This window comes from Homo sapiens, chromosome 10, assembly GCF_000001405.40.
Source record: "Homo sapiens chromosome 10, GRCh38.p14 Primary Assembly".
Lineage (NCBI taxonomy): Eukaryota > Metazoa > Chordata > Mammalia > Primates > Hominidae > Homo > Homo sapiens.
In genome coordinates, this window is record NC_000010.11 from 114,989,469 (window position 1) to 115,000,540 (window position 11,072).

Sequence of the window (11,072 nt, forward strand, 5' to 3'; positions counted from 1 at the left end):
GGTTGGAATTGCCCCCTCTCTGCTTGAGCTGAGACATCTATCCTGCCCTTGGCACTCCTGGTTCTCAGGGGTTCAGACCTGGATTCCTGGGTCTCCACCTTGCCCATGGCAGACTGTGGGACTTCTCAGCCTCCTATCTAATTAATAAATCTCTTCATACACACACACACACACACACACACACACACACACACACACACACACACCCTATGTATCCTTCTGTTTCTCTGCAGAACCATATCTAATACACCTGCTTTTATGACGATTACCTATCGATTCTGTATTCTGCCAAAACTGAAAACAGTTCATTTTTCCATCTCTTCTCAGAGAGGCTTGTCAGCCATTAGTTCTCTGATGGGCTCAAGAAGTTATGCAGTTTTTTTTTTCTCACTGTTAGGATGGAATTGATATTCTGTTGAAACTTTCTATACCTAAGTGGAAACTTGTTTTGAGGTTATTTTCTCTACTTACTTTTGCTGGAAATGGAACACTCTGTATCTAGTTAAGACACATAAACTGACTTGTGATACCATAATGTTGTGTTGAATTTTATATTCTTAGAAAATCATCTGTCAAGGTGTTAACTAATGGCAAAGCATTTAATAAATCAGCATTCATGTATTCAGGTGCTCTGAATTATCTGACTTTTAAATTCTTACTTTATAAATGAGAAAATTGGGGCATGGAAAAGTTAACTCTCCTAACCCCGAATTATTACATTATTAAGGACAGGACTTAGAGGCCAGATATCTTAAGTCATTAATATTCTTTGGCTCACAGAATTGGCAGTATAACCTAAAGGTAATAACTAGGTGATTTTCTTTTATATCAATTAAATATGTCAGTTTTCAAATATTCATAAGTACCTACTGTGCAGGGAAAGAACATGCCATACAAAAGATGTAGTCCAGGCCTTTAAGAAACTTTCATTTAATGGGAACTCAAGAAGTGTACATATAAGGAGGGAAGTAGCAGTATGGTACAAGATAATACATACATATCAGTGAATGATATTGCCAAAAAGTGCTATTGATAGAGCAATAATTCATTTCTGCAAACAGCTGCTGATCTCCTACTGAAAACAGAGGAGGGAGAACAGGACGCCTCGTGGTCAGGATAGAAGAGAAAGACCTTGAGTTGAGCCTTGAACAGTATTTAATATTCAAAAGGTTAAGAGAGGAGAGCAATTGAGGAGGGGAGAATAGTTCCAGCACAAATGATGGTGTACAAGATGAACACAGTCAGTAAAGAGCAGACTGGTCTGGATGGAGAGGAGGATTTGCATCATTTGGGATTACGTCATTTAGACCCTTGAAAGCCAGGATTGAGTAAAGCCACAGTGAAGCGACTGGCTCGTATGGAAGCTTTATTTTAAGAAGATTAATCTGGTAGTGACATGTGCCAAAAACTGAATAGGTAGAAATGAGATGCAGAGAGCCCAGTTAGAACTAAGTCTGGTGCAGTAATGCAGGATTGAGGCAATAAACACCAAACTACAGTATCACCAGATAATGGATGTTTGAACGGACGGTTTAAAGGAAAATTGATGGTATTTGGTAATTTATTAGATAATCCAGGGCCATGGAATGAGAGGGGAAAATGACTAACCATAGTCATCAAATGGTTTTTCTTAATGAATCTGAATTTTGGTGTAAGAGCAACATTTTCTTAGGCCTTGCCTAGTTGGTACAGCTGACTATGATAATGACTGCTACCATGCTTGTTCCTCTTTTAGCAGCTGTGAGTCCCCCACCAGCCAAACAATGAGCCTCTTGAAAAGGACGATGCCTTTTCACTTCTCTCCAAGTGCTTGGCAAATAGGAGGCCTTTTGAAGTTACTTTATAGTTAGGGGTTCCCAGTGAGTATTTGAAATATTAAGTCATGCCCGTGGTTGACAGCATGGCCCTACTGCTCATCATCAGCTATTAACCTTAGGCAAGTTAATGAACTTTTCTAAGCCCCAGTCTACTCATTTATAAAGTGGGATTATTAATAATGTCTACTTCATAAAATTATGAAGCCTGAGTTAGGTCATTCAGATAGTGTTTAGTCTGATTCTTCGAACCTAGTAAACAGTCAGTAAACAGAAGCAAATGCCACATGCCTGATTTATATCCAAGGGGAGAAAGGTAAAAGTGAAATTTTCATGATTTATGGATTCAAATTATACATTTCAAAGATGCTTTATAAGCTATTGTTTTGGTAAGAAGAATTGAGCTGAAACAGAATTTTCTGACAGCAGTGATTATTAAATGGTGAAATAGGCTATTGATGTCTTTAGAGGATATAGATGTTCACCTTTTGCATATAAGTGCACAAAAATTCACTAAGTAGATATGTCTGTCTACACAGAGAGAGAGAGCGTGAGAGCATTAAAGTTAGTAAACATCCCCCTCGCTTTTTTTTTTTTGAGACAGGGTCTTACTCTGTTGCCTAGGCTGGAGTGCAGTGGTGCAATCGTGGCTCACTGCAGTCTCAACATCCTGGGCTCAAGCGATCCTCTCGCTCAGCCTCCTGAGTAGCTGAGGTGTGCACCACCACACCCGGCTAATTTTTAAATTTTTTTATTGTAAAGGTGAGGTTTCACCATGTTGCCCAGGTCTCAAACTCCTGAGCTCAAGCAATCTGCTCACTTCAGCCTCCAAAAATGCTGGGATTACAGGCGTGAGCCACCACGCCTGGCCAGTAAACCCCATTCATTTACATCATCTTACTTGTCCCTCCAAAATCCTGCAAAGTAGGTAGGTTCTGTCTTTATTTGTTATTTAGGTGAAGAACTTGAAGTGGTGTTGAGGAATAGGTGTTTTGCCAAGAGTCACGCAGCTGGAGTGGCAGAGCTGTATACTCTTCTGATTCCACCAACGCTGTTTACATCACATCTGGAGAAAAGTGCTCTGAGGCACAGATGTTTAGTGGGAGGGATGAGACACAGGCTGCAATGCCTAAAGATAATCGGGAATAAAAGCAGAAAACAAGACGTTTGTTTCTGTTAAAATGAGACAGAAAATAAGGCGTTTGTTGTTTGGGATTGAGCACTTGGAGAAGTGGGGAGCGATTTGATTTGGGTGAGACTGCTCCTGGAATGCTGCATCTGGTTCTGGACTACTCATTACTAGGCTTATAGAAACTAGCTGGAGGAGGTTCAAAGAAAAGCTCCAAAATGATTAGCGGGCTGACGGGATTGATTTATAAGAAATATTAAAAGAATTAAATGTGTATAGCTCAGCTAAGCAAAGATGAAAGAGACCAGCTAAATGTATACAAATATCTGAAACGTGCAAACTTTAAAAAGAGAGATTAATTATTTAACATGATACACGGGGGCACAATATGCAGTCACAGGATGAAAATTTCAGCTGAGTATCTAGAAGAATTCCCCGATAGTGAATCTGTTAAGGCTGTCTGTAGTGTGGCCTTTCCCTGGAGAGGCAATAGAAATTTCAAGTCTTACGATTTTAAAAGTTTCTTGGGAACTAGGTATTAGATGATGTTAGAGAATTATTATTAATTTGGTCAGGTATGATAATGGTATTGTAGTTCTATAAGAAAAATTGTATTTTTTAGAGTTACATACCCTGAAATATAAGCATAGAATATGATGTAGGAGATTTGCTTTAAAATACCACAGTAAGGAAAGAAAGGAAGGAGGAAGAAAAGAAAGGAAGGGGAAGAAAGGGAAAAAGAGGCAAAGAAGGAAGAGAAGGTAAGAGAAAGAAAAAGAATGAAGGAAGAAGGCTGGGCACTGTGGCTCATGCCTATAATCCCAGCATTTAGGAGGCCAAGTTGGGAGGATCACTTAATTAAGCCCAGGAGTTCAAGGCTGCAGTGAGCTGTGATTGCGCCACTGCACTCCAGCCTGGGTGGCAGAGTGAAGCCCTGTCTCTAAAAAAAAAAAATAAGTTAAAAAGAAAGAAAAGGATAGATGAAGTATGGCAAGATGTTGGTAATGTTGAACCTGAAGGAAGTTAATATGTGAGTTCACTTTCCTCTTCAGTCTTCTTTATGTATGTTTGCCAACTTTCATAATAAACAATTTAAATTATATTTTCCTGATCAAAACTTAGTAGCAGTATTAATCCCTGGGCTTCCTGACTAGAACAGCCTCATTACCACATGGGCAGAGTTCTGGCCGACCAGGGACCACGTAGTGGTTCACCATCTTGCTCTGGTAATGTGGTCTGGGCTGAAGGGCCCTTTCTAAGGTTGTAGATAGAAATCCAGGAAACTTGTTAGAACTGCAGACCTATCAGGGTACCTGCAGGAGGTGAGTCTACTAAGGTGAAAAAGCAGAGGGCAGAGGTCGTGATTAGCAGCTGACCGCCCCCTGCTTTTCTGTCCCTCATTCGTGGAAAATTGAGTGGAGCTCAATTTTGAGTGGAGCTCTAAGTAGCTCCACTTGTAGACATTGAGTGGAGCTCTAAGTGTCTTCAGAATAGCAAAACACTAGTTTTCTTTTTCTTTTCTTTTTTTTTTTTTTTGGAGACAGAGTCTTGGTCTGTCGCCCAGGCTGGAGTGCAATGGCACGATCTCCGCTCACTGAACTCTGCCTCCCGGGTTCAAGCGACTCTCCTGCCTCAGCCTCCCGAGTAGCTGGGATTACAGGTGCCCACCACCACGCCCAGCTAATTTTCCTATTTTTAGTAGAGATGAGGTTTCACCGTGTTGGCCAGGCTGGTCTCAAACTCCTGGCCTCAAGTGATCCGCCTGCCTTGGCCTCCCAAAGTCCTGGGATTACAGGTGTGAGCCACCACACCCAGCTGCAAAACCCTATTTTTCTTGAATGGAGAAACACTTTCCCCTTATTTATTGAGTTTGGGAAGCAAGAAGAGGGGTAATTCATTAAGTGAAAATTTCCAAAATCCAGAAAACATCGATAAAGCAGCAGCTTAATTTTTTTAAGGAAGAATTTTTTAAACTATCTTCTTTTGAGCCTCTTTAGGAAGACCTCACGTCCTTGCCTTGAATGTTGAGAGTGGGAAATCCAGGGAGGTTTTGGAATGCATGCCTTATGTCTGCTTTTTTGTTTGTTAGAGAAATATAAATATTTTATCTAGGTTTTGCTGATGGCAGTCAAGCATGAACACAACCCACTGTTTGAGAAGCTGTAATTTCTGAATTTCTGCAGAGTGCACATCTAGGCCAGCAAATGGCAGTAAGAGTGAGGTGGATTTAGCTCAGTGTAAGGATGAACTCCAGAACCATCGGCTCTGACTGAAAGTGAAGCGGCAGCCGCGTTGTGGGAAAGCTGGCTGGAGTCTCTCTCATAAGCAGGCATTCTTTTTCTCCAGCCCGTCACTGTGTTGGTTTGGGCCCACGGTAAGCCTCCTGGCCTCTAGGCTGTAACCCCCACCATCCTCCTCTGCCTCGCCTCCAGAGTGATTGTTCTGAAGCACAACTGGATGTCATTCCCCTTCCTGAACTCCTAGCACCTACAGGGACTCCATCCCTTGTGCCCCACATACCTCACACGTAGACATTCCTAATGAAGATTTGATTGAATTATTGTAAACTCAGTGCCTCCCACTCTTCTAGTTGCCTCTCTGCCTGCCTTTGTACATTTATTTATTTATTTATTTATTTATTTATTTATGAGACAGAGTCTTACTGTATCACCCAGGCTGGAGTTTAGTGGCACCATCTCAGCTCACTGCAACCTCTACCTCCCAGACTCAAGCAATCCTCCCACCTCAGCCTCCCGAGGAGCTGGGACCATAGGCACGTGCCACTATGCCCGGTTAATTTATTGTAATTTTTGTAGAGATGGGGTTTCATCGTGTTGCCCAGGCTAGTCTTGAACTCCTGGACTCAGGCGATTCGCCCGTCTCAGTCTCCCAAAGTGCTGGGATTATAGGCGTGAGCCACCATGCCCAGCCGCTAGCACTCATCTTAATCGTATATTTACTTATCTGGCTTTCCCACCAGACTGCGGGCTCTTCAAGAGTAAATGCCATGTTTTCACCTTTATTTCCCCAGTTTGTGGCACATTCTAGGCACTCGCCATCATGAAATAAACCTCTGGAGCTGTGATATTACAAACGTGAAAAGATGACGAGCACTCAGCAACTTTCAGTGAGTAAACAAAGGCTTTCATTCAGCATGTATTTATTGACTGCCCTGACTCTGGGCTGCCTTCCTGTCTGTGGTTCAAGGAGAGCATAGTCTACAGAACCAGAGACCTGGCTACTCTGGAAGTTAGACTTAAGCCCACCCCGGTCCTTGAATGGGGAAATATTTCCCTTCATTCCTGTGTTTTAGGGACAGAAAGATGAGTAATGCAGTGATACATGCTGGAAATGTTTATTCCACTACCCGAAGCTGCCTCTCAACTTAACAATCCATGAAAGAAACAAGATGGTATATAACTTTTTCTAATTTGTGATGCCTTTGTTTATTTGTTTCCGGTTAAAAGAGGAGGTGGCATTGAATTGTTTGTTTGGTTTGGTTTCTTCTTCAATAAGAAGCATCTTAATATAACTAGACTGGACATCTGTCCCATTTTCAAAAATTACAAGTTTCGATCATTGCTAAATTGTACAGATCCCAATCTGTCTGCTCTGCATACATTTGCATTTATAAAAGCAGAAGCAGACTAGCAGTCTTTCTAATGCAATCCCCCAAATGCATGAAGTATTAGATTGCTTCTCCCTATTGGTTCATGCATTGCTAAAGGCTTAAAAGGATCATTGATTTTAATTATTTAATGTGTACAGCAGGCTGAGCTTCCTTTCTTTTTTAAGGGAAGAACCTTCAGGGGCATTGCTTTAGTTTTTTAATGTTAAATCTCATTTTTCTTTGAAAATAAGAAGTTAAAGCTGTATTCACACAAGCTCTCAAAGTGCCAGATTTTCATTGTGTTTTTAAACCATCTAGGAAATGTTTGATTCTAATGAAACATTACTGCTGAAAATTGGGCTGAAATTGCTGGGCTGAAAATATTGTTATAACTTCACATGATTCCAGTGTTGTATTATTATTTTTTCTTTTTCTTTTTTTGACCCGATATAGATGAAGCGAAGAGACAAGGAGCAATCCAATGTGTAATAAAAAAAGGCAGCCTGAATTGTTGTTGCTGTTTTTGAAATTTAAGCTGGTTTTCAATTAAATTCAGTAAATGGTCCAGGACTATAAATGTTGAACATTTTTTACCGTGTAATTTAAATTTTAGTCTTATTGTTTTTTTTTTGGTTTTTTTTTTTTTTGATGGTTTACATTTTCCCCATGGAAAGCAGCTATGTCATGTCGGCATGATTCATCATGGTAACATCTCGGGTTATTTTGGTTTGTGTTATGTTCAGAAAGCGGAATGCCAAAAATAAAGAGTGGTTTGTGATGTCTAGTGTGTCTTCCTTTAACAAATCAAAGGCTTTTATTTAATCCACTTAATGGGACACTGCAGAAATTTAAAAAATGGAAGTCCCATCCACAGAAGGCAGGTACTATGATGTAAAAAGTTTAGGTGGGGGATTAATAGAGTGATCATATAATTTATGAGCTAAACCGGAGGCACTTTTTTTTTTGAGATCGAGTCTCACTGTTGCCTAGGCTGGAGTGCAGTGACGTGATCACAGCTCACTGCAACCTCCGCCTCCCGGGTTCAAGCGATTCTCATGCCTCAGCCTCCTGAGTAGCTGGGACTATAGGCGCCCACCACCATGCCCAGCTAATTTTTGTGTTTTTTGTAGAGATGGGGTTTCACCATGTTGGCCAGGCTTGTCTCAAACTCCTGACCTCAGGTGATCCGCCCACCTCGACCTCCTAAACTGCTGGGATTACAGGCGTAAGCCACCATGCCTGGCCCAGAGACACTTTTGAGAGTGAAGAGGAAGCTGAGAATAATTCACTGATCTACAACTGGGACCATCCAGGGCAAGCCAGATGCCATTACCACTAGCTAGAAAGCTTGCCAAGGTCTCATTTACCTTGGTATATAGCAAATTCTTCTTTGAATTCTGGAAATTCTGGTAAGTCATTGAGGTAGCTCTGTGCCAAGGAGCAATATGGTAGAATTCTAATATTTCAGGCAGTACAACACTTTCCTGCATTTGTAGCAGGTAAAGGGAGGTCAGGGCAGAAGACAAAACCACTGGGACTCGACAAAGGGCATAAACGTCTAATGCACCTGATGTAGCTGATGGTAAATTGTTATCAGCTAAAGATCTTTCATAATAAATAAACTTATCATTTGTAGGAGGGCACAGAAATCGTGGAAAGCTGGGATTCAGGTTGCCTGTGGCTTTAATTCTGGAATCAGAAATATTAGTCAAGGATATCAGTCTATGAAGTAAGTTTTCAATGTTATATGCCACAAGATGCAGCTGTCCTATTTTCACTTCCAGTAATTCCTTCTGAATTAATACACCTTAAAAATAGCTGCAGCTTCTCAAATCTGTGAGAATCGTATGTGCTGCTTGCTACACTTTCCTTTTTCCTGAAGGCCTCTTTGAGGTCTTTCAAGAACTCAATTCAATTCAGCAACAATTAGGGGGTCTAAGGTATACAGACGCTGTGCAAGATGCTCCTGAGACACAAAGAGGAGGTCAAGCCCCTGCCTTCAGGCACCTCTCTATAATATAGGAGGAGAAAGAGAAGAAACACTAATACACATAGGTAGGTGCCATTAAAAGGGTGCATACATTAAAGCCAGGTGGTAGGTGTAAGAAGATTTGTAACATGAGAATTTTCTGCATGTTTGAAATATCTTATAATTTTTAAAAATTAAAATGGGAGATACATATATATGTATTTATGTATGTATATATGTATGTACATATACACACATATATACATAAATATATACATAAATATGTATATATGTGTATATAGACATAAATATGTATATATGTGTATATAGACATAAATATGTATATATGTGTATATAGACATAAATATGTATATATGTGTATATAGACATAAATATGTATATATGTGTATATAGACATAAATATGTATATATGTGTATATAGACATAAATATGTATATATGTGTATATAGACATAAATATGTATATATGTGTATATAGACATAAATATGTATATATGTGTATATAGACATAAATATGTATATATGTGTATATAGACATAAATATGTATATATGTGTATATAGACATAAATATGTATATATGTGTATATAGACATAAATATGTATATATGTGTATATAGACATAAATATGTATATATGTGTATATAGACATAAATATGTATATATGTGTATATAGACATAAATATGTATATATGTGTATATAGACATAAATATGTATATATGTGTATATAGACATAAATATGTATATATGTGTGTATATAATAATGTGTGTACATATACACACATATATACATACATAAACATTCTGCATTATACCATTCACTTTGTAACCCATCTTCCCTAAAAACTGTCTCATAAAGAGTCTTCTTTTCCCTGTACCTATGCAATGGTAAGTAGCAAAACACACATTCTTTTGGGTCCCCATAACATTCCCTGTAGTTTGCCCTTAACAGTCTTTGATGTGAAATTTACTGTTTCTGTCTTAACCTTGCCTGTCTCGCGTACATGGAGTTTTGGCTCCTGGCTCCTAGTCTGCATCTTCACCCCATCCCTTGCCCAAAGAATCTGGTTATGTGACCACTGCTCATCTTTTCTGCTGCCACAACTCCAGTCCAAGCCACAAACCTCTCTCTCCTGGACTCCTGCGGGGAGTTCCTTTCTCTCCCTGCATGAGTCTATTCTCCGCACAACTGGCAGAGGTAAGTGAGACTGCGGAAGAGGCAAGTTTGCAAGTCCAGAGGAAATGAAGACTCTGCTTGTGCACATGCTGGGTTTGACGGGTGCTGGATATCCGATGGATGGCCCTTAAGGTGAGCTCAAGGCTTAAGGGAGAGATAGGGGCTGATGATCTGAGATTCATCAGTGTGTGGCTGATGTTTAAACCCAGGGGACAGGATAAGAAGGTTATTCCAGGGAGAGCGTAGATAAAGAAGCTAAATGGCTTCTGGGTCCTTAGTCATTCAAAATCGGACCTCTGAGGCAGGAGGAAAGCCCAGAAAGAGTAGATTCCTGGGACTCACGGGATAAAGACTTTCAAAAAGTGGGGGCTGGCCAGTGCTGCTGAAGGAAGTAGCAGGACCGGAACAGAAGGGTAATCGTTGGACCTGGAGAACTTGAATTTGAATTTTAAGGTTGGTAACCTTAAAAAAGAGCAATTTTAGATACCTTTTGAAATTATTTGCAAGATTTGTTTGGTATATGTGTTATTCCAGGCAAAGGGACCAGAAAAGTAAAAAATACTTACTGAACAGTTACTGCATGCCTGGCACTGTAACACCCTGTTTAATTCTCACGGCAACCCTATAGAGTAGGTGTCATCATCCCCATCTTACAGATGAGGATATGAGGTGCAGCTAGATTAAGCAGTTTGCCTCAGGTTACACCAACTGGTTAACGTAGAGCTAGGATTTGAACCCGGATGGGCTGATCCCAGAGCTCATGCTTTAAATCGCTAGACTGGTGCTCACAGAAGACTGGGACCGAAAAAAATTAATAAAAAAAATAAGGAGCCCCCTGGGCTAGCAAATTAGGAGTTGTTCAGACAGATGTGAAAAGGAAAGCAAGGCAGAGGGAAAGTCACTGTACAGAAGAGAGAGACCCATGACAGCAGAGACAGTGAGCTGGTAAAGTGGCTGGCGATCTAGCCCCTGAAAATACCTCCAGAGAGGCAGGCTCACGCCTGTAATCCCAGCACTTTGGGAGGCCGAGGTGGGCAGATCACCTGAGGTCAGGAGTTTGAGACCAGCCTGGCCAATGGCGAAATCCCGTCTCTACTAAAAATACAAAAATTAGCCGAGCATGGTGACAGGCACCTGTAATCCCAGCTGTTCAGTTGGCTGAGTCAGGAGAATAGCCTGGATCCGGGAAGTGGAGGTTGTAGTAAGCCAAGATTGCGCCACTGCATGCCAGCCTGGGCGACAGAGCAAGACTTTTCTTAAAACAAACAAACAAAAAAGAAAAAAGAAAAGGAAAGAAGAAAGAGACAAAGAAAGAAAGAGAGAAGGAAAGAAAGGAAGGAAGGAAGAGAAGGAA

The 11,072-nt window shown here is 40.5% G+C and overlaps 1 long non-coding RNA gene across 1 annotated transcript; it reads left to right on the plus strand.

Annotated features, from left to right (window-relative positions):
* Nucleotides 1-5,188: 5,188 nt before the first annotated feature.
* LINC02626 (long intergenic non-protein coding RNA 2626) lies at nt 5,189-7,125 on the plus strand. Its single transcript, NR_120677.1, has 3 exons — nt 5,189-5,317; nt 5,975-6,070; nt 7,007-7,125. It is a non-coding gene; the product is annotated as a long intergenic non-protein coding RNA 2626 (long non-coding RNA).
* The last annotated feature ends 3,947 nt before the right edge of the window (nt 7,126-11,072 follow it).